Genomic DNA, 24,925 nt, shown 5'->3' with positions numbered 1-24,925 from the left:
AGTAAATCCTTATCTATATTATTTCAGAATATTAGCACTTCCTAGTTATAATCATAAAACATTTATTTTAAATAGAGATTTGTTTGCAATGTATAACTGATTCATGAAATTCACTCTCAAAGGACGAAACAAAACAACTAGGAATTTGAATGTGTTTATTTGTTTGAGTAACAGAGAGCAAATTAAAGTAAACATAATTTCTCAATACACTGAAATTGTTTTGTTGACTTACTTTTGAGAAAAAGCCTATTTTATCAATGAAGTAAAGGTACCACCCTGAAATGTCCTACTAAGAAGCTACTAATTCACTATAAAACTAGTTTTATAGTATGTTTACATGAAAGTATAAAGAAAGAATGTGTGCAGATGTTTTTCTTGTGAAAGTAGTACATGTTCCTACAATACTTCCCCTATAACATGGCCCAAAGAAGTTAATGTCTCTGGATAATGAAAGAAAAGGCTCTTAACTATAAATATTTGTCATTTTGAGCGTACTTTCACAAAATTCAGTTTTTCTCTAATAATAGCTGAAAGAAAATTTAAAAAATACAAGAAACATGCTCCAGCATAAAGGGGATGAATAAATATCATCATCATTTTCAATATATCTCAGAGTATCTTTGTTACAAACAGAATAGTAAAATAAGAGAACCAATATTAAAGCAACTTACTCAGGGTAAGGAATCAGTTCAGCTTCTATGGAATTTCATTTTTCTTATATTTTAAAAATAGTTAAAGGAGGTATTCTTTACGGCATATAAAATAAAAGATAACCCAACAGAAAACTAAACTTACTGTTAAACCTTAAGTGTCTTGAGTTAAATATTAGAGAATTAAATATATTATAGTCTAAAATTCAGTGACATGAAACTAAATGCCAATTCCTGACTTAATATAAGGCAAGAGATTTTTACACGTTCAGAGGAAATACATTTTTAATTCAGAATGGTTTGAGATGAAAGATGGATATTTTTATATAATTGATGAAATGAGACTTTCTACTATAAATCTACAGTTTTATTAAATAACTTCATTAACTTTTGTCATAAGAACAAGTCTCTAATAGCTTGTCACTAGAATAACTTCATAGAATTTGGTGTCTTATAAAGGTATTATTCTGTACATCCAACTTAGAATATTCTCGATATATATTTTTTTGCACTCAACTCTCATTTTAAAAACCTGATGTGGAGTGTTAAAACAATATCCAGCAATGGGAGACTTTAACACCCCACTGTCAACATCAGACAGATCAACGAGACAGAAAGCTAACAAGGATACCCAGGAATTGAACTCAGCTCTGCACCAAGCGGACCTAATAGACATCTACAGAACTCTCCACCCCAAATAACAGAATATACATTCTTTTCAGCACCACACCACACCTACTCCAAAACTGACCACATAGTTGGAAGTAAAGCACTCCTCAGCAAATGTAAAAGAACAGAAATTATAACAAACTGTCTCTCAGACCACAGTGCAATCAAACTAGAACTCAGGATTAAGAAACTCACTCAAAACCGCTCAACTACATGGAAACTGAACAACCTGCTCCTGAATGACTACTGGGTACATAACAAAATGAAGGCAGAAATAAAGATGTTCTTTGAAACCAGCGAGAACAAAGACACAACATACCAGAATCTCTGGGACACATTCAAAGCAGTGTGTAGAGGAAAATTTATAGCACTAAATGCCCACAAGAGAAAGCAGGAAAGATCTAAAATTGACACCCTAACACCACGATTAAAAGAACTAGAAAAGCAAGAGCAAACACATTCAAAAGCTAGCAGAAGGCAAGAAATAACTAAGATCAGAGCAGAACTGAAGGAAATAGAGACAAAAAAAACCCTTCAAAAATTAATGAATCCAGGAGCTGGTTTTTTGAAAAGATCAACAAAATTGATAGACCACTAGTAAGACTAATAAAGAAGAAAAGAGAGAAGAATCAAATAGACACAATAAAAAATGATAAAGGGGATATCACCACCGATCCCACAGAAATACAAACTACCACCAGAGAATACTATAAACACCTCTACGCACATAAACTAGAAAATCTAGAAGAAATGGATAAATTCCTCGACACATACATCCTCCCCAAGACTAAACCATGAAGAAGTTGAATCTCTGAATAGACCAATAACAGGCTCTGAAATTGAGGCAATAATCAATAGCTTACCAACCAAAAAAAGTCCAGGACCAGATGGATTCACAGCCGAATTCTACCAGAGGTACAAAGAGGAGCTGGTACCATTCCTTCTGAAACTATTCCAATCAATAGAAAAAGAGGGAATCCTCCCTAACTCATTTTATGAGGCCAGCATCATCCTGATACCAAAGCCTGGCAGAGACACAACAAAAAAAGAGAATTTTAGACCAATATCCTTCATGAACATCGATGCAAAAATCCTCAATAAAATACTGACAAACCAAATCCAGCAGCACATCAAAAAGCTTATCCACCATGATCAAGTGGGCTTCAACCCTGGGATGCAAGGCTGGTTCAACATACGCAAATCAATAAATGTAATCCAACATATAAACAGAACCAAAGACAAAAATCACATGATTATCTCAATAGATGCAGAAAAGGCCATTGACAAAATTCAACAACGCTTCATGCTAAAAACTCTCAATAAATTAGGTATTGATGGGACGTATCTCAAAATAATAAGAGCTATCTATGACAAACCCACAGCCAATATCATACTGAATGGGCAAAAACTGGAAGCATTCCCTTTGAAAACTGGCACAAGACAGGGATGCCCTCTCTCACCGCTCCTATTCAACATAGTGTTGGAAGTTCTGGCCAGGGCAATCAGGCAGGAGAAGGAAATAAAGGGTATTCAATTAGGAAAAGAGGAAGTCAAATTGTCCCTGTTTGCAGATGACATGATTGTATATCTAGAAAACCTCATCGTCTCAGCCCAGAATCTCAAGCTGATAAGCAACTTCAGCAAAGTCTCAGGATACAGAATCAATGTACAAAAATCACAAGCATTGTTATACACCAATAACAGACAAACAGAGAGCCAAATCATGAGTGAACTCCCATTCACCATTGCTTCAAAGAGAATAAAATACCTAGGAATCCAACTTAAAAGGGATGTGAAGGACCTCTTCAGGGAGAACTACAAACCACTGCTCAATCAAATAAAAGAGGATACAAAAAAATGGAAGAACATTCCATGCTCATGGGTAGGAAGAATCAATATTGTGAAAATGGCCATACTGCCCAAGGTAATTTACAGATTCAATGCCATCCCCATCAAGCTACCAATGCCTTTCTTCACAGAATTGGAAAAAACTACTTTAAAGTTCATATGGAACCAAAAAAGAGCCCGCATCGCCAAGTCAATCCTAAGCCAAAAGAAGAAAGCCGGAGGCATCACGCTACCTGACTTCAAACTATACTACAAGGCTACAGTAACCAAAACAGCATGGTACTGGACCAAAACAGCATGGTACTGGTACCAAAACAGAGATATAGATCAATGGAACAGCACAGAGCCCTCAGAAATAATGCCGCATATCTACAACCATCTGATCTTTGACAAACCTGACAAAAACAAGCAATGGGGAAAGGATTCTCTATTTAATAAATGGTGCTGGGAAAACTGGCTAGCCATATGTAGAAAGCTGAAACTGGATCCCTTCCTTACACCTTATAGAAAAATTAATTCAAGATGGATTAAAGACTTAAATGTCAGACCTAAAACCATAAAAACCCTAGAAGAAAACCTAGGCAATACCGGTAATTCAGGACATAGGCATGGGCAAGGACTTCATGTCTAAAACACCAAAAGCAATGGCAACAAAAGCCAAAATTGACAAATGGGATCGAATTAAACTAAAGAGCTTCTGCACAGCAAAAGAAACTACCATCAGAGTGAACAGGCAACCTACAGAATGGGAGAAAATTTTTGCAACCTGCTCATCTGACAAAGGGCTAATATCCAGAATCTACAATGAACTGAAACAAATTTACAAGAAAAAAACAACCCCATCAAAAAGTGGGCAAAGGATATGAACAGACACTTCTCAAAAGAAGACATTTATGCAGCCAAAAAACACATGAAAAAATGCTCATCATCACTGGCCATCAGAGAAATGCAAATCAAAACCACAATGGGATACCATCTCACACCAGTTAGAATGATGATCATTAAAAAGTCAGGAAACAACAGGTGCTGGAGAGGATGTGGAGAAATAGGAACACTTTTACACTGTCGGTGGGACCATAAACTAGTTCAACCATTGTGGAAGTCGGTGTGGTGATTCCTCAGGGATCTACAACTAGAAATACCATTTGACCCAGCCATCCCATTACTGGGTATATACCCAAAGGATTATAAATCACGCTGCTATAAAGACACATGCACACGTATGTTTATAGCAGCACTATTCACAATAGCAAAGACTTGGAACCAACCCAAATGTCCAACAACAATAGACTGGATTAAGAAAATGTGGCACAGATACACCATGGAATACTATGCAGCCATAAAAAATGATGAGTTCATGTCCTTTGTAGGGTCATGGATGAAACTGGAAACCATCATTCTCAGCAAACTATCGCAAGGACAAAAAACCAAACACCACATGTTCTCACTCATAGGTGGGAATTGAACAATGAGAACACATGGTCACAGGAAGGGGAACATCACACACCAGGGACTGTTGTGGGGTGGGGGGAGGGATAGCATTAGGAGATATACCTAATGCTAAACGACGAGTTAATGGGTGCAGCACACCAACATGGCACATGTATACATATGTAACAAACCTGCACATTGTGCACATGTACCCTAAAACTTAAAGTATAGTAATAATAAAATAAAATAAAATAAAAAAGAATATCCAGCCTGAGAAGGAACATTCTCCCTCAAGAATAGTTGTTGAATTAGCTCCTATTTACTGACACGAGAACATGTACACATGTATACATAAACATGCTTACACACACACACACACACACGCACACACACACACATCCATTGTAAACATTCTCCATTGTTTTACTGGTCCCACTCTAAAGGCATGACATAAATAGAAAGGAAAAGCTATGTTGTGTAATTTATGGACGGAGGAAGGAGGGGAGGGGAGGGAAGGCAAGGAAGCATTACACAGAAAAACTTCTGACTAAACCAATATATACGATTCACAGTCCTAAGGTGACACAAAGACATAGTAAAAGATCCGTCATAGGGTAAAGGTGAGCTAGACAAGAGAAAAATTTAGAATAAAATATAAAATAATCATAATATATATTATTAAAAGGGAAAAAAAGACCTATATAATAGGACAGGTTATCATATTAGTTTTATACTCTGCAGTACAAAATATCTTTCCTTAAAAAGAGGTTTTCTGTGACTAAACTTAAGGGTTAATTCATCTTACCTTCCACAGAAGGTGCCTGGTCCTGAGCTGAATACAGCATATCCTTGAAAGCCTATTAGAAAGAAAGAAAAACAATATATGAAATCATGAGTAAGCTTTATACTGAATGTATCTGAAGCTAAACAGTTCTTTTTCAATATTCAATGACCACTCATAGCTCCCTAAATTGATAAATACTTCAATTAACATTTATAAACTAAAATCCAAACATTATAACTTCACATCAATCCAGTATTGTCCAATTTTTAAGATGAGGGCTAACTTGTATACTTTAAAATTAAGGAACAGCTGGAAAAGGATGAAAAATCACCTGAGAGATTATAAACTCTCTTGACTAAGAAAAAACACTGAAGAAAACAGAACAAAAGTCCTAGAGAAAAAAACTAGTAGACTGCATAAGAAACTATCAGGAACTGGATACAAGTATCTTTTTAAAATTGTAGTAAGGTACATGTAACATAAAATTCACCATTTTAACTATATTTAAATGTACAGTTCAATAGTGTTAAGTACATTCACATTGTTGTGCAACCATTCTCCAGAACTCTTTTCATCTTCAATACTTTTTTTAATGAAATTTTATTTTTTATAGCCAGGCATGGTGATGCCCTAGCTACTCAGAAGGCTGAGGTGGGAGGATCGCTTGAACCCAGGAGGCGGAAGTTGCAGTCAGCCAAGACTGTGCTACCACACCCCAGCCTGGGAGAGAGAGTAAGGCTCTGTCTCAAAAATAAATAAATTTTAAAAAGAAATTTTATTTTATTTATTTATTTAGTCTTGCTCTGTCGCCCAGGCTGGAGTGCAGTGGCACGATCTCAGCTCACTGCAAGCTCTGCCTCCCAGGTTTATGCCATTCTCCTGCCTCAGCCTCCCAAGTAGCTGGGACTACAGGCGCCCGCCACCACGCTCGGCTAATTTTTTGTATTTCTTAGTAGAGACAGAGTTTCACCGTGTTAGCCAGGATGGTCTCGATCTCCTGACCTCATGATCCGCCCTCCTCGGCCTCCCAAAGTGCTGGGATTACAGGCGTGAGCCACTGCACCCGGCCAGAAATTTTATTTTTAATCCACAAATAATAACTGTACATATGCCTGGGGTACACAGTGATATTTCAATACATATGGTCTATAGTGATCAGATCAGGGTAATTAGGATATCCATCATCTAAAACATCTATAATTTTTTTGTGTTGAGAACATTCAATATCCTCCTTCTAGGTATTTGAAACTATATACTATTGTTAACTATAGTCAGCCTACAGTGGTACAGACCACTAGAATTTATTCCTCCTATCTAGCTGTAATTCTATATCCTTTAACAAATCTCTCCCTATCCTCTGACCTGCCCTCTTCCCTTCCCAGCCTCTAGTATTCTCTGCACTACTTTTTATTTCTATGAGATCAACTATTCTTAGGTTCCACATATGAGTGAGAACATGTGGTGTTTAACTTTCTGTTCCTGGCTTATTTCACTTAACCTAATGTCTTCTAGTTCCATTCATGTTGTCACAAATGATAGAATTTCATTCTTTTTATACTGAATAATGTTCCTTTGTGTATATATACATCACATCTTCTTTAGCCATTCATTTGTTGTTGGACACCTAGGTTGATTCCCTATCTTGGCTACTAGTTAGTGTTGCAATAAGCATAGGGGTACAGATGTCTCTTTGGTTTACTGACTTCCTTTCCTTTGGATAAATGCCCAGTAGTGGGATTGCTGATTCATATCTTATTAATAGTTCTATTTGGGCCGGGCGCAGTGCTCACGCCTGCAATCCCAGCACTTTGGGAGGCCGAGGAGAGCGGATCACGAGGTCAAAAGATCGAGACCATCCTGGCCAACATGGTGAAACCCCGTCTCTACTAAAAATACAAAAATTAGCTGGGTGTGGGGCATGTGCCTGTAGTCCCAGCTACTCGGGAGGCTGAGACAGGAGAATCGCTTGAACCCGGGAGGCAGAGGTTGCAATGACCCAAGATCGCACCACTGCATCCCAGTCTGGCGACAGAGCGAGACTCCACCTCACAAAAAAAAAAAAAAAAAAAAAAAAAGGTTCTATTTGTAGTTATTTGAGGAATCTCCATACTGTTCTCCATAGTAGCTGTACTAGTTTACATTCCCACCGAGTATAAGACTTCTTTTTTCTCTGCATCCTTACTAGCATTTTTATTGTTTTTGTTTTGTTTTGTTTTGTTTTTTGTCGTTTTGATAACAGCCTAACTGGGGTGAGATGATACCTCACTGTGGTTTTGATTTGTATTTCTTTGATGATGAGTGATGTTAAGCATTTTCTTTATTTGTTAGCCACTTGTACGTCTTTTGAGAAATGTCTGTTCAGATCACTTGCCCATTTTTAAATCAATTTTTTTTTGCTGTTAAGATGTTTGAGTTCCTTGTATATTCTAGATATTAATCCCCTGTAGTGTGAGTAGTGTCCAGATATTTTCTCTCATTTTATAGGTTCTTTTTTCACTCTGTTTCCTTTGCTGTCCAGAAGCTTTGTAGTTTGACATAAACCCATTTATTTTTTTTCTTTTGTTGCCTGTGATTTTGAGTTCTTACTCATGAAATCTTTTCCCAGACCAATGTCCTAAAGCATTTTTCAGTGATGATCTGGAAAGTCTTCCCTAAGGGTTTAGGACTATAAAGACAGTATCGGTTTACTTTATAGTAATAGTTTGTTTTTGTTTTTGTTTTTTCCCCCAAAACCACACTCTAGATTAGCTAACAACCATATTTAGGTAATCTGGATGGCTGCAGTTTAATCTCTCAATAAGTCATTGGGGAACAAGAATGAGAAATAGTTCTCTGTATCTATCAAAATGGTAAAATCAGTTCAGTGGATGAGGATATCCATAGCTTCAAAGCTTGAAATACCATCTAAAGACTGGTGATGCCCATATTGGCCTACAGCAGGATTCCTCAAACTCAGTAACATTAGCATTTTGGGCTAGATAATTTTTTTGCTGTGGGGGCTGCTCTGCGCATTATAGAATTTTTAGCAGCATTCCCGGCATCTAGAGACCCGTTAGATAACAGTATCAATCCTCACCCTCCAGCTGTGAAAACTAAACATTGCCGAATGTCCCCTGAAGGCAAAAAGGTCCCTCCCCAGAACCAGCACAAATATTCAAGCATATAAATACCAAAAAGGAAGAAGTAAACTTCCATGGTAACCCACCGTTTTTTTTGTTTGTTTGTTTTTTTGTTTTTTGAGATGGAGTCTCGCTCTGTCACCCAGGCTGGAGTGCAGTGGCGCCATCTCGGCTCACTGCAAGCTCCGCCTCCTGGGTTCACGCCATTCTCCTGCCTCAGCCTCCCGAGTAGCTGGGACTACAGGTGTGCACCACCATGCCTGGCTAATTTTTTGTATTTTTAGTAGAGACGGGGTTTCACCATGTTAGCCAGGATGGTCTCGATCTCCTGACCTCGTGATCCACCCGCCTCGGCCTCCTAAAGTGCTGGGATTACAGGCGTGAGCCACCATGCCGGGCCGAACCAGCACAAATATTCAAGCATATAAATACCAAAAAGGAAGAAGTAAACTTCCAGGGTAACCCACTCTTTTAAAGAAAAGAGTACAGATACTCAAGTCCAGTAAATTATATTCTTCCCAAGTGAATTTACTATTTGCTTTGGATTAGTGGCCAAACTGTCAGATCCATGACTAACCAGGCCTAATAATATACAGTAAAAAATTTCCAATGAAACAACAGAAATTAAAATTTTTAAATTGATGTATTTTTGTTCATTTTAACCAATGTTTTATTAAAATGTTGGATGTACAAAAATGGAAAATGATGTATGATGTACAAAAATTTTTAATGTCACATATGCTTAAATCCAAAAACATTCAGTAATATTCACTACTTATACAGAATTTGAAGCAATACAATAATGCAACTGAGGTATAATAAAAAATTAATATTTGGTCTTTGTGTCCAGTACCCGGCATAGAGCTCCAAAAACCTTTGGAATGTACTGTCTTTTATATACTAATGAGATAGCTCAATGGGAGGCAGTGGGACAAAGGGTCCTAGATGCTTCATGGTGGCTGGTCACCAAAAAAAATCAAGTGATTAGAGGATTAGAACTTTCAGCCCCACCTCCAGACCTCTGAAGAAGGGAGAAGGATTGAAGACTGAGTTCAATCACTAATAGAATAGGATTTAATCAACTGTGCCTATGTAGTGAAACCACCATAAAAACCCTTAAACATCAAGGTTCAGAGAGCTTCCAAGTTGGTGAACACATGAATGTGCAGGCTCTGTGCCATCTCCATCCTAACATCTTGCACTATGCATCTCTCCATTAGGCTGTTTTTAAGTTGCATCCTTTATAATACATCTGTAATGGTAAGTACAGTGCTTTCCTAAGTACTATGGGTAGTTCTAGCAAATTATCAAACCTGGAGGTGGGGATCATGGGAATCCTCAAATCTGCAGTCAGCCAGGCAGAAACTGAAAACACCTTTGCAAAAACTATAACTGAGAAAATTATTACAGTACAAAAGATCTGATCTAACCAACTCTACCTTGCTTCTAACCTCCAAATTGTCCTTGTTCATTCCAGGGCATAGACCAAACTAACTTTGGGAGGAACGTAGTTTATAGTGCCACTTTGGGAGGAACGTAGTTTATAGTGCAACTTTGAAACAAAGATTATATTAACCCTTTCCCAAAACAAACTACCTTCTTGCCTGGAGACTAGACTGTCTTTGTAGTACTAACTAGTCACAAGATTAGAAATTATGGTTTAGAAGTCATGCAGCTGGAGGCTGCAAGATTCTGAACCTCCCCAAATTGCTCTTGGGGATAACATCGCTATTATAAAACTAAGATCAGTGCCTGAGATACTTTGCAGACCCTGTCCTCTGAGCTGGCACCACCCAGATCAATAAACTGGCTCATCTGGTCTTATGGCCCCCACTCAGGAACTGATTCAGCACCAAGAGGACAGCTTTGACTCTCTATGATTTTATCTCCAACCCAACCAATCAGCACTCCCGATTTACTGGCTTACTACCCACCAAATTATCCTTATAAACTCCAGTCCCCGAATTTTCAGGGAGACTGATTTGAGTAATAATAAAACTCAGGTCTCCTGTATAGACGGTTCTATGTGAATTAAACTCTTTCGCTATTGCAATTTTCCTGTCTTAATAAATTGGCTCTGTCTAGGCAGTGAGCAAGGAGAACCAGTTGGACAGTTACAAAATGTGGGTAGCCTGGGCATCCCATTTGCAGCTAGCATCTTAAGCAGGGGCGGTCTTATGAAATGGAGCCCTTAACCTGTGGGATCTGTACTACCTCCAGGTAGTCAGTGTCAGAATTGAACTCAATTGTTGGACACCCAGCTAATGTTAGCAATTTGGTTTCTAGTGTCACAAAAAAGATAACACATTTGGTCCCAGAAGTGGTGTCATCAAACATCATACTATTCTGTTCAAACCAGTACCCCACCCCACCCAAAAACAAAAAACACCACACCACAGATTAACCTTATGGGAAAACCTTTATTAATGGACCACATCTTTTCTAAGATTACATTACATTACATTTTCTAAGATCACATTCTTAAACATGTTATTAATTCAACATACAAACATGTTTAAGAATTAATATTCTGTAAATATGAGGCTGAATATGACAAAATTATGAAACCTCTTCTTAAAAAATGTATATATACTCAGTATTTTCTTTATAATTTCTTGTGTCTCAGGGAACATTAACTGCCAGACTAAAATAAGAAGTTAGTCAAGAAGAGCTTATCAAACATCAGAAAGTCTTTTGTACCCACATTAGAATTTTATATTAAAGTCCTCTACAAGTATAGAGTAGTGGTAATATTTTGGTTCTTCAATAGGATATTTCCAGAAGGTAAATGAACAAAAGATTGCTAAAATCAGAGTAAATCTCTAGAAGTTAAAAACAAAAAAAGTACCAGAAAAATGTAACGAGAAAGGAAAAATTGGTCCAGCCAGAGAATAGTTACAGAAATAAATCCATTATAGGAACAAATAATATCAGAGATTCAAATGTTTGAATGAAGTTCTTCCACTTCTTGGGTATAGTAGGAATGTGTAGCAAAATTAAATAATGCTGTCAGGAACCAAATACATCACCAATGACTTGCAGTGACTTATACACAGTAGGCGCTCAATAAATAGTTATTGAATTCAAAAGCATTCCTTCTCTGGAGAAATTACTTTAAAGATGATTAACAAAGCACATTAAGTAGAATCTCTGATATGTAATACACATAAATTTAATTTGCAAAAGGAAACCTTTCCAAATTAAATTCTGAAGATGATGAATTTGAATTTTATAAGGAGAAAAATGACGAGTCTTCATTCTGATTATAAAACTGAATCAAATTTTCGTTTAAGTCAAGACAAATCTCACTGAAATCATACGGAACTCTTTTTGCTTCTTACTACTTTGTGTTCATCTGATTAAGAGGCCCTATATTTTTGGTAGTAATGATCTCTAAAAGAACTCCATGAGTAAGATAACATTCTGTGCCTGTGAACAAGAGAATAGTCCTCAATCAGAAACAAGGGAGGAAACAAACCCTCTGAAGTATTGTCTATATTATTACCTATGGACTGTTTGTCTATGAGTCACCCAGACCACATGCCTGGGTTGGGAGCCATACATCCAAGTCACAAAACAACAAATTAAAAGAGTTTCCTCAACTCATGCTGTTTAAGGAAATCCAGCACTTTATATAAAACTCCGAATTTGTATAGTAAATAAATCAATGTGTATTCATATGCATTACGTGAGTTCTTTGATTTCCAAAGGATTAAAAGCAATCCTTTGCATCAGCATCCCTACTCTAATTTCTGTTAACTTATTTCTGTTATAATTGTGAAAGGAAAATAAAAACTTGTGACCCCAATTCACTATGCCAAAAGAAAAAAATTAAGCTGAAAACTAAGTAATATAAGAAAAGGTGTTTCCTTTTGTTCCTCGGCAGATAGCTACAGATAAAAGGTTAAATATCTCCAGAGGTAGCTACTCTATGTTATCCTTATCTTATGTAAAGTGCTGCTTTACTGAGCAAGAGACTAATACATAATTGACTATTACCCTGTCTGCTCCTTTTCTTTTGCAACATGGGGATTACCATACCCTCCCTCTTTCTCCTCCAGCCCATTTTTCCCCTTTAAATATTGAAGCCCTCAGAATTATCTTTGGAGAAAGACACAGACCACAGACTGTTTCTGTGATTCTGTGTTTATTTCTTCCAGGCATGTCTTAAACTTGGTAAAATAAACTTCTAAATTGATTAAGACATGTCTCAGATACTGTTTGGTTTACATAATGTTATTAAAATATATATAAATGTAAACTAGAACAAACTCCTAGTACTTATAACAACTCATATAACAGTAAAATCTTACAAACTGAATCCAAAGATAACCACAAACCAATAATATTCAACCAACATTACCATGACAGGAAAAAAAATGGTGTTTTGCTGAAATGAAATCTCAAATTGTAACATCAATGTGGTGCTGACTGCCAATATACATGTTCTTTTTAGCTTGGAATGGCTATATTACTGTGTCAAATGTGATGTAATTCTACAAGTACTTGTCTCTACAGTGAGGCAGCATAACAGAGTGGCTGGTTGCTATGATGTCAGACAAGCATAACAGAGTGGCTGGGAGCTATGATGTCAGACAATGTGTATGAAAACTAACTCTTAGCCAGGTATGGTGGTATGTATTTGAAGGCCCAGCTTCTAAGGAGGCTGAGGCAGGAGGACCACCTGAGACTGGGAGTTCAAGTCCAGCCTGCACAACATAGTAAAAACCCTGTCTCTTAAAAAAAAAAAAAGTTGGCTGGGTGCAGTGGCTCACGCCTGTAATCCCAGCACTTTTGGAGGCCGAGGAGGGTGGGTCACCTGAGGTCAGGAGTTCAAGACCAGCCTTGCCAACATGGTGAAACCTTGTCTCTACTAAAAATACAAACATTTGCCAGGCGTGGGGGCAGGCGCCTGTAATCCCAGCTACTCAGGAGGCTGAGGCAGGAGAATCACTTGAACCCGGGAGGCGGCAGTTGTGGTGAGCCGAGATCGTGCCACTGCACTCCAGCCTGGGCAACACAGCGAGACTCCCTCTCAAAAACAAACACAAAAACAAACAACAACAACAACAAAAGTTGTATAACCTTGGGAAAATTAACTTCTCTGTACTTTAGCACCCTCATCTGTAAAACAGGAATAGTGATGGCACATACCACACAAGTCTTTAATGAGGACTATCATAAAAACTCTTAAAACAATATTAAGTTTGATTCATGATCATACATGCATAACACTTAGAACAGTGCCAAGAACATGGAAGATGCTCAAAAATGTTAGCTAATAGAATATGAACTACCACAAAACTTACATCACAATGTTGTGACATTATTTGACCCTGTATTTTCCAAAAATGAATCATTTATGCATGAGATATGTCTCAGTTCTTAAAAGCTCATCACAAAGTAGTACAGTTCTACCTGGAACCAATAGCAAAACAAGCATACACATGGGCACTGCAATCTACTGGTATTACTGGTTTATTAAATGGTCATCTAGATCAGTGGTCCCCAACCCTTTTGGCTCCAGGGACTAGTTTCACGGAAGACAATTATTCCAAAGACCAGGGTGGCAGGGGAAATGAAACTGTTCCACTTCAGATAATTAGTTAGATTCTCATGAAAAGCACACAACCTAGATCCCTTGCGTGCACAGTTCACAATAGGGGTCGTACTCCTATGAGAATCTAACGCCGTTGCTGATGTGATGGGAGGCAGAGCTCAGGCGGTAATACACACTGGCCCACTGCTTACCTCCTGCTGTGTGGCCCAGTTCCTAACAGGCCATGGCCCAGTACTGGTCTGCGGCCTTGGGGTTGGGGACCCCTGATCTAGATGATATAAAATATGTTCCTACTTTATTTTTAGATGATTGCTGATGTGAACACACAATATCTTTCATTCTCATAGGAAACCTACAGACTCCAAAGAAAATATATGCAGATCCCAGTTTATGATTTTAATAATAATGTATCCTAATTATATTATTCAATCTAAAAAATTACTTAAATTTTGTACAATATACCTTTTTTTGTAAAAATAGGGTATACTTAAAAGTTAACATGTATATTCAATGAGAACAAATTTCTCATGTTGTTCATTTTTAATAACCCATATTAGATCATCTCTAATCTCCTTTCCAAGGCACAAATGGGTTTCACAAACCATTTAAAGGAGATCAGAAGCTAAAAAACTCCTACTTCCTATCAGCTAACCATTATGTCTCATACACAACATACTATAAATATTATGACAATCATCAACAAAATGTCTACTGTTATGTTGCTCTCATTCGCTTCAACAGTCATTCAAAGTTAGCACTTTACAATCTACTGGATTAATAAACAATAAAATAAATAAAGAAAAGCATATGAAGAGAAAGGGCAAGGAATATTTGTGCTCATAAACCTTAAAGGAGTCATAACCCCTGTTAATAATGTTTCACAACTGAATAAAATTACAACAGATACTTTTTTATCTGAACAACCTTTCCAAATGGAAACCTTGAAAAATAAAATTTGAATATATTATTTTAAATATGTGCATTATGTGCTCATCTACAATACCCCAGAAATATTCTCCAATTATCTTTTTCAGTTTCCACTTCCTCTTTTTGTATTCTGTTTTTAAATTACTTCACCAGAAATATTGGGTGAATAATGTACAAGTCAGTTACATCTAATATGGTTTGTCTCATCATCTAAAAATTATAAATGTTTTCCTAATACTAAAATAAACAGGACAGTTTTGTAAATCAAATTATAAACCTCAAAAGAGGACATCCAGCATTCTCATGTGTACTATACAAAGAATCAACATACTAAATAATCTTCATTTCTATCCCAAAATACAAATAAACTTACTTAGCTTTGGTTCTAATGATAGAAATAAAATCAGCAAAGCCAAGAAAAACTCTTACACAAATTCTCATATTAAAATTTAAGATTAATATACTCTTGTACATACTTAACAAGCTAAAGCCTAGAGTATATAAGCATTAAGCCTGACTCATTTTCAAGGAATTCAAAAGAACCCAGTCAGTAAATGGCAATTCAATATGGAGAAGTTGTTACAACACTAAAGTTTTATTGTACTGATTAAACTAAATGTATATTAAATATATAAGATATATGTAATCTGTAATAGGAGGAATCAATTTGGAATATGTCATGTTATAGTCACACAAATTTTTGCACTAATATTCTCTGACATCTATTGACATGGCTTTTATTCTTTCCATGTGGGTATCTCCTGAATTTAGATCCTTGGCCACATGTCTGATAACACAAACTCAGAATGTTCAAAATTCAATTCATTTTCTTCTTAAGGCTTTATTTCTGTTAATGTCATCACCAGTATCCAAATCACACAGATTAAGAATCTCAGTCAAAACAATCTCACTCATTCAACAAATATTTAAGAATATATTGGCTAGACGCGGTGGCTCACACCTGTAATCCCAGCAAAACTCTGTCTCTTTAAACAAACAAACAAACAAAAAGTTGGCTGTGTGCGGTGACTCACACCTGTAATCCCAGCACTTTGGGAGGCCGAAGCAGGCAGATCACAAGGTCAGGAGTTCAAGATCAGCCTGGCCAACATGGTGAGACCCTGTCTCTACTAAAAATACAGAAATTAGCTGGGCTTGGTAGTTGACACATGTAATCCCAAGGCTGAGGCAAGAGAATCATTTGAACCCAGGAGGTGGGGGCTGCAGTGAGCCGAGATCATGCCATTGCACTCCAGCCTGGGTGACAGGACGAGACTCCGTCTCAAAAAAATATATATATATTATGTGCCAGCCACTGTACTAGATACTTCAGATATATCATGAGGAAAATAAAAATCATTATCCTAGTGTAGTTAACATTATTACGTTTTCTTTCTTTCCACTCATGCATGTACAGATCTGATACAGTCAATTCCACTGCCACATCCTCTTTTGCCTTCATAATCTCCTATCCATCTAAACTATTTCAACAGAATTTTAACTGGTTTAACCACCTATGAGTTTTGATCTCTCTGACAGATCTTACAAAATGCTGCCAAATCAATCTTCCCAAAGCAGTAGCCCGATTCTCCTACCCAAAAACTTGCAAAGATTTCCTCAGGGCCACAAAATAAAGTCCATACTCCTCTGCTGGCCTCTAAAACACAAAGAATGGTCCAATCTACCTTTCTAGGCTTATCTTTCAAAATGGAAAAAACCACTTTGATTTTCATAATCTAACCCTCAAAACAAAATAAATTACATATTACTCATTTTAGAGACCTCAGTATTTCTTCTATCTTTGCCTTTTTTTACTGTTGCCTCCACCTGGAATCCCTTCCCTTTATCCCCATCTTTTAATCCATCTTGTAAATCTTAACCATCCTTCAAGATCCAGGTCAAATTGCCAACATAGTCAAAGTACTAAAAGAGAAAAACTATCAACCAAGAATCCTATGTTCAGCAAAAACGTCCTTCAAAATTGAGGGAGAAATTAGGACATTCTCAAACAGCTGAAGAAGTTTGTTACTACTAGGTTTGCCCCTGTAAGAAATATTTAAGAGAATCCTGCAAAATGAAATGAAAGAACACTAGACAGTAACTCAAAGCTGTATAAAGAAATAAAAGTTCTCAATAAAGATAAATATATGGGCAGTTATAAAAGCTGGTATTATTGTAACAACAGTTCTTAACTACATTTTTTATTTTCTACATGATTTAAGAGTCTAACACATTCAAAAGAATTATTATTTTAAGTTTCTGGGCACACAGTATATAAAAATGTAATTTTATGACATCTGCACAACTGAAAGTGATGAAGATGGAGTTGTAAAGAAGCAGTTTTTGTATGTTATTGAAGTTAAGCTGGTAAAAATTCAAATTAGAGTGTTTTAACTATATGATGTTAAATGTACTCCTCATGGTAACCACAAAGAAAATATTTATAGTCCACACAAAAGCAAATGAAAAAGAAATGTAAACATTTCACTACAAAAAATCAACTAAACACATAAGGAGGAAATAAGGGCCAAAAAAATCTATAAAGAATATAGAAAATTGGAAAATGACATAATTACACCTTGTATCAGTAATTACTTTAGATGTAAATGAATTAAATTCTCCAATGAAAAAACAGAAATTGGCAGAACAGATAAAAAATACATGATTCAACTATAAGCTTCTACAAGACACTTTAGATCTAAAGACACAAACAAATTGAAAGTGAAAGGATGGAAATAGATACTTTGTACAAATAGTAACAACAAAGATTTTAAGAAAAACTTAAAAGACACAAAGGAGAATATCATATTTTTTTAAAGGTTCAATACAGCAAGAAAATATAACATTTACAGTAGTCACCCCTCATACAGTTTCACTTTCCACAGTTTTGTTTACCCATAATACAGTACATTAAGATATTTTAAGAGACAGAGACCACATTCACATAACTTTTATCACGGTATATTGTTGTAACTGTTCTATATTATTATTAGTTATTATTGTTAATCTCTTACTGTGTCTAATTTATAAATTAAACTTCATCATACATATATATGTATGGGAAAAAACATAGTACCTATAGGGTTTGGTACTATCCATGGTTTCAAGTATCCACTGGGGGTCTTGGAACATCCCCCATGGAGAAGCAGGAACTACTGTATAAACATTTATACGCAGTGGCTCACATCTGTAATCCCAGCACTTTGGGAGGCCAAGCCAGGCAGATCACCTGAGGTCAGGAGTTTGAGACCAGCCTGGCCAACATGGTGAAACCCGTCTCTACTAAATGGTGGTGCATGCCTGTAAATCCCAGCTACTCAGGAGGCTGAGGTAGGAGAATTGCTTGAACCCGGAAGGCGGAGGTTGCAGTGAGCCAAGATTGCGCCACTGCACTCCAGCCTGGGAGACACAGCGAGACTCCATCTCTACAAAAAAAGAAAAAAACAAAACAAAACAAAACAAAATTTATACACTAAAGACAGACCATCAGAATATATGGAGCAAAAATTAACAGAATTGAAGAGAAAAAAATACATACTTATACAATAATAGCTGGAGACTTCAATATCTCTCGACCAATAATAGATAAAATAACCAGACAGCAGACATACATGTAACACTCTACCCAATGACAACAGCATATGCATTCTTTTCAAGTGCATGTGGTACATTTTCCAGGATAGATTATTTGTTAGGCCAGAAATTAAGCCTCAATAGATTTTTTTTTTTTTTTTTTTTAGACAGAGTTTCGCTCTTGTTGCTCAGGCTGGAATGCAATGGTGCGATCTCAGCTCTCTGCAACCTCTGCCTCCCGGGTTCAAGCGATTCTCCTGCCTCAGCCTCCCAAGTAGCTGGGATTACAGGCGCCTGCCAGCAGCCCAGCTAATTTTTATATTTTTAGTAGAGATGGGATTTCACCATGTTGGCCAGGCTGGTCCTGAACTCCTGACCTCAAGTGATCTACCCACCTCGGCCTCCCAAAGTGCTGGGATTACAGGTGTGAGCCACCGTGCTCAGTCTCAATAGACTTTAAAAGAAATAATCATACAAAGAAAGTATTTTCTCTGATCATAACAGTATGAAATTAGAAATCAATTAACAGAAATAAAACTTGAAAATTCACAAAATTATGGAAAGTAAACAACACATACTTCAATAACTCATGGATCAAAGAAGAAATCACAAGGAAAATTGTAAAACATTTAGAGAGGAATGAAAATAAAAACACAACATACCAAAACCTATGAGACACTGTGAAAGCAGTGTTAGGGGCAAATTTATAGCTGTGAATGGATTTCAAATTCAAATTTCAAATGGATTTCAAACCTAACATGACAACTTAAGGAACTAGAAAAAGAAGAACAAACTAAATCCAAGGGTAACAGAAAGAGGGAAACAGGCTGGGTGCAGTGGCTCACGCCTGTAATCCCAGTGCTTTGGGAGGCTGAGGCAGGCAGATCACTTGAGGTCAGGAGTTCAAGACCAGCCTGGCCAACATGGTGAAACCCCGTCTCTACTAAAAGCCCACAAATTAGCCAGACGTGGTGGCATATGCTTGTAATCCCAACTACTTGGGAGGCTGAGGCAGGTGAATCACTTGAGCCCAGAAGGTGGAGGTTGCAATTGACTGAGATCACACCACTGCACTCCAGCCTAGGCAACAGAGCAAGACTCTGTCTTAAAAAAAAAAAAAAAAAAAAAAAGATAGAGGGAAATAAATATGAAAGCAAAGATAAATAAAAAAAATAGAGAATAGAAAAACAATAGAGAAAAATTAATGAAACCAAAAGTGGGTTCTTTGAAATGATTAACAAAACTGACAAACCTTTAGCCGGATGGACTGAGAAATAAAAGAGAGAAGACACAAATTGCTAAAATCAGAAATGAAAGTAAGGACATTACTACTGATTCTATAGAAATAAAAAGTATTATAAAAGAGTACTGTGAACAACTATGCACCAAAAAATTGGATAATCCAGATGAAATGGACAAATTCCTAGGAAGGTAAAACCTGTTAAGACTAAACCATGAAGAAACAGAAAATCTGAACAGATCTATAAATAGTAAGAAGATTGACTCCATAATTCCAACAAAGAAAAGCCCTGGACCTCATGGCTCTTTGGTGAATTCTACCCAACATTTAAAGAATATCAACCCTTCCCAAACTTTTCCAAAAAACTGAACAGGAGGAAATGCTTCCTAACTCATGCTATGAGGCCAGTATTACTTTGATACCAAAGTCAGACAAATACGCTACAAGAAAACAAAACTATGGGCAAATATCTCCAATGAACTTTGATGCAAAAATCCTCAACAAAATACTAGAAAACCAAAATCAGCATCATATTAGAAGGATTATACACCATGACCAAGTGGGATTTATTACTGAAATAATTCCTGTGTTGAAATGATAGTTCAACACAGGAAAATCAATCAATGTAATACACCACATTAACAGAATGAAGGGGGGATATCACATGATCACTTGAATTGATAAACACATTTGACAAAATCATGATTAAAAAAAAATTCAAAAGACTAGGTATAGAAACTACCTCAAGATAATAAAGCCATATCTGAAAAACCCACAATGAATGGTGAAAGACTGAAATTTGACCAGGCTCAGTGGCTCATGCCTGTAATCCCAGTAAGGGGAAGCCAAGGCAGGCAGATCGCTTGAGTTCAGGAGTTTGAGACCAGGCCATGCAACATAATGAAACCCTGTCTCTACAAAAAAAATACAAAAATTAGCCAAGTGTGGCATGCACCTGTAGTTCCAGCAACTCGGGAGCCTGAGGTGGGAGGAAAACTTAAGCCTGGGAGGTGGAGGTTGCAATAAGCCAAGATTGCGCCACTGCACTCCAGCCTGGGTGACAGAGTGAGACCTTGTCATGGAAAAAAAAAAAAAGACTGAAAATGGTTTCCTCTAAGATCAGGAACAAGGAAAAGATGCCCATTTTCATCATTTCTGTTCAATGTAAGTTCTAGCCAGGGCAATTAGGCAAGAAAAAGAAATGAGAGACATCCAAACTGGAAAGTAAAATTATCTGTATTTGCATATGCTAATTTTATATGTAGAAAAACCTAAAGATTCCACACCAAAAAAAGAAAAACTAATCAATGAATTCAGCAAAGTAGCTGATACAAAGCTGACGCAAAGTGGGATATGAAGTCAACATGCAAAAATCAGTTGCATTTCTATACACTAACAACCAACAATCTGAAAAGGAAACAACAAATTGCAGAAACAATCTGAAAATGACAGCAATTCCATTTAACAATAGCATCGAAAAGAATAAAATACTTAGTAATTAACTTACCCAAATAAGGGAAAGACATGTACAATATAAAGAAGAAAATGTTGCTGAAAGAAATGAAAGACAAATAAATGGAAACACATCCTACGTTCATGTGTATTATAAGACTCAATATTGTTAAGATGTCAATACTACTCAAAGCGATCTACAATTCAGTCCAGTACCTATCGAAATCCTAAACATCTTTCTTGCAGAAATGGAAAAACCCCATTGTCAAATTCATATGGAATCTCAAGGGACGCTGAACAGCTACAAGAATCTTGAAGAAGCACAAAGCCAGAGGACTCACACTTCCTGATTTCCAAACTTACTACAAAGCTACAATAATCCAAATAGTATAGTACTGACATAAAGTTAAACCAGTGGAATACAGTCCACAAATAAACCCTCCTATATACGGTCAAATAAATTTTTATGAGGGTGCCAAGATCACCCAATGGAGAAAACAGTCTTTTCAACAAATAGTACTGGGAAAATTGGATATCTATACCCAAAAGAAGGAAGGTGGACCCTTACCTAACACCACACACAAAAATTAACTCAAAAATCATAGTTAGGGGAGGCAGAGCAAGATGGTAGAACAGAAGCCTCCATCAATCATCATCCCCACAGGAACATCAAATTTAATGACTATCTACACAAAAAAAGCCTTCATATGAATCAGAAATCAGTTGAGTAAACACAGTAACTGGTTTTTACTCTGTATCACTGAAAAGAGGCACTGAAGAAGGTAGGACGGACAATCTTGAATTGCTGACACTACCCCTCCCCCAAACCCCAGCAGTGTGGCCAGCTGTGTGGCACAGAGAGAGAATCTCTGCACTTGAGGGAGGGAGAGTGCAGCAATTGTGAGACTTCACATTGGAACCCAGTGCTGCCAACACTGGGCTGAATTCAGCCAGCACCCATGGAAGGAGCATTTAGTCCAGCCCTAGCCAGAAAGGAATAGCCTATCCTAGTAGCAGGAACTTGAGTTTCAGCAAGCCTTTCCACCAAGGGCTAAAGTGCTCTGGCACTCTAAATAAACATGAAAGACTGTCTAGGCCAGTGGTTCCCAATCCCCAAGGCCCTGGACCAGTAATGGTCTTTGGCCTGTTAGGAACCAGGCCACACAGCAGGAGGTAATATGGTTTGGCTGTGTCCCCCACCCAAAATCTCATCTTGAATTGAAATTCCCATAATCCCCACGAATGTCAAGGGTGGGACCAGGTGGAGGTACTTGGATCACGGCGGCGGTTTTCCCCATGCTGTTCTTGCGATAGTGAGTGAGTCTCATGAGGTCTGATGGTTTTATAAGCGTCTGGCATTTCCCTTGCTTGCACTCACTCCATCCTGCCACCCTTTGAAAAAGGTGTTTACTTCTCCTTTGTCTTCCACCACAATTGTAAGATTCCTAAGACCTCCTCAGCAATGGGAAACTGTGAGTCAATTAAACCTCTTTCCTTTATATTTAATAATTGGATATTTCTTCATAACAGTGTGAGAATGGATGAATATAGGAAGTGCGAGGTGGGCAAGTGAGCATTACTGCCTGAGCTCCACCTCCTATCAGATCAGCGGCAGCATTAGATTCTCACAGGAGCACGAACTCTTGTGAACTGCACATGGAAGAGATTCTAGGTTGTATGCTCCTTGTGAGACTCTAATGCCTGATGATCTGAGGTAGAACAGTTTCATCCGGAAACCATTTCTCTTCCTCCACCCCATGAAAAAACTGACTTCCATGAAACCAGCCCCTGGTGCTAAAAATGTCGGGGAATGCTGGTCTAGGCCACAAGGACTGCAACTCTTAGGCAGGACCCTGTGCTGTGCTAGGATCAGAGCCAGTCGACTGGGGGGACACGTGACCTAGTAAGACAGCAGCCAGGGCAACTAAGGGGGTGCTCATGTCATCTGTCTCCCAGTGCCAGGCAGCAAGGCTTGAAGCTCCAAAAGAAACCCCTTCCTTCTGTGTGAAGAGAGGGTAGGGAAGAGTAAAGAGGACTTCATCTTGCAACTGGGATACCAACTGAGCTACAGTAGGAAAGGACACTGGGCAGTGTCACGAGGCCCCCCATTCCAGGCCCTGGCTCTCAGACAACATTTCTAGACACACCCTTGACCTGAAGGGAACCAGCTGCCTTGAAGGGAAAAACCTAGTTCTGGCAGGATTCATCATCTGCTGAACACAGAACCCTTGGGCCCTGAATAAGCAGCAGTGGTAAACAGGTAGTATACACCATGGGCCTTGGGTGAGACTCTGAGACATGCTGGCTTCACGTGTAAGCCGGCACATTCACAGCTGTGGTGGCTATGAGGAGGGACCACTTCAGCTTGAGAAAAACAGAGGGAAGAGCAAAAGGAACTTTGTCTTGAGCTTAGGTACCAGCTCATCGACAGTAGGAAAGAGCACTAAGCAGGCTTTTGGGGTCCCCAATACCAAGTCTTGGCTCTTAGACAGCATCTCTAGACCTACCCTGTGCCAGAGGGGAGTCCACTGACCTGAAGCGTGAGTCCCAGGCCTGGCAGCATTCACCACAAACTAAATGAAGAGCGCTTGGGCCATAAGTGCACATTGGTGGTACCCTGGCAGTATTTCCTGTGGCCCTATAGTGTTGGTGGACATGGGGAGACTCCTCTGCCTGAGAAAAGGGAAGGAAAGAGTAGAAAGAACAATGGTTTCAGCGCCTGCTCAGCCGAGGTAGAAAAGAGCACCAGGTAGATTTCTAAGGTTTCAGAATGCAAGCCCTGGCTCCCAGAGAGCATCTCTGGACCTGCCCGGGGACTTGGGGAACTTGCCACCCTTAAGAGAAGAACACAAGCCTGGCTGGATTCACTACCTGCTGAATATAGAGCCCTAGGTCCTTGAGCAAATATAGGTAATAGGCAGGTGGTGGTTATAGCAGTCCTTCAGAAACATCCAGTGTTGCGCTAGCTTCGGGTCTGACCCAGTGTGGTCCCAGTGATGGTGGCCCAAGGGGTGCTTGAGTCACCCATCACCAAGCTCCAGGCACCTCAGCACAGAAAGATAAACTCTGTTTATCTAGGACAAAGTAAAAGATGAGAACAAGAGTCTCTACCTGACAATCCAGAGAATTCTTCTGGCTCTTATCCAAGACCACCAAGGTGGTACACCTCTATGAGTCTGCAAGAACCACAATGTTACTGGGCTTGGGGAACCCCCTAATGCAGATAACAGATGCAGTCACTAAAAACTTATATCACTACACCCAAGTCTCTTTGAATACCTGGAAAGCCATTGCAAGAAGGGTGGGTATAAACAAACACAGATTGCAAAGACTACAATAAATAACTCTTGAATGCCCAAACACCAACGAACAATCCACAAACTCAAGACATCCAGGAAAACATGACCTCACCAAAGGAACTAAATAAGGCACCAGGAACCAATTCCAGAGAAATGGAGATATGAGACCTTTCAGATAGAATTCAAACCAGCTGTTTTGAGGAAACTCCCAAGAAATTCAAGATAAAGCAGAGGAGGAATTCAGAACCCTATCAGATAAATTTAACAAAGAAACTCAAATAATGAGAAAGAATCATGCAGAAATTCTGGAGTTGAAAATGCAACTGACATACTGAAGAATGCATTAGAGTCTCTTAATAACAGAAGTGATCAA

General features: G+C 38.1%; 1 protein-coding gene across 4 annotated transcripts in view; it reads right to left on the bottom strand.

Moving 5' to 3' along the window:
• Positions 1–24,925, bottom strand: part of XPR1 (xenotropic and polytropic retrovirus receptor 1) — a 258,258-nt gene that overhangs the window by 202,465 nt on the left and 30,868 nt on the right. For all 4 annotated transcript variants that reach the window (NR_137330.2, NM_004736.4, NM_001135669.2 and 1 more), the window contains exon 2: positions 5,404–5,455. Coding sequence is in view for 3 of the 4 variants with exons in the window: in NM_004736.4 (NP_004727.2) it covers positions 5,404–5,455 (52 nt within the window). In the remaining variant the exon portion in view is untranslated. The remainder of the gene's footprint in view (positions 1–5,403; positions 5,456–24,925) is intronic.

Source organism: Homo sapiens, chromosome 1 (genome assembly GCF_000001405.40).
Source record: "Homo sapiens chromosome 1, GRCh38.p14 Primary Assembly".
Lineage (NCBI taxonomy): Eukaryota > Metazoa > Chordata > Mammalia > Primates > Hominidae > Homo > Homo sapiens.
Note: the sequence above shows the minus strand (reverse complement) of the source record. Positions and strands in the feature narration are given on the sequence as shown.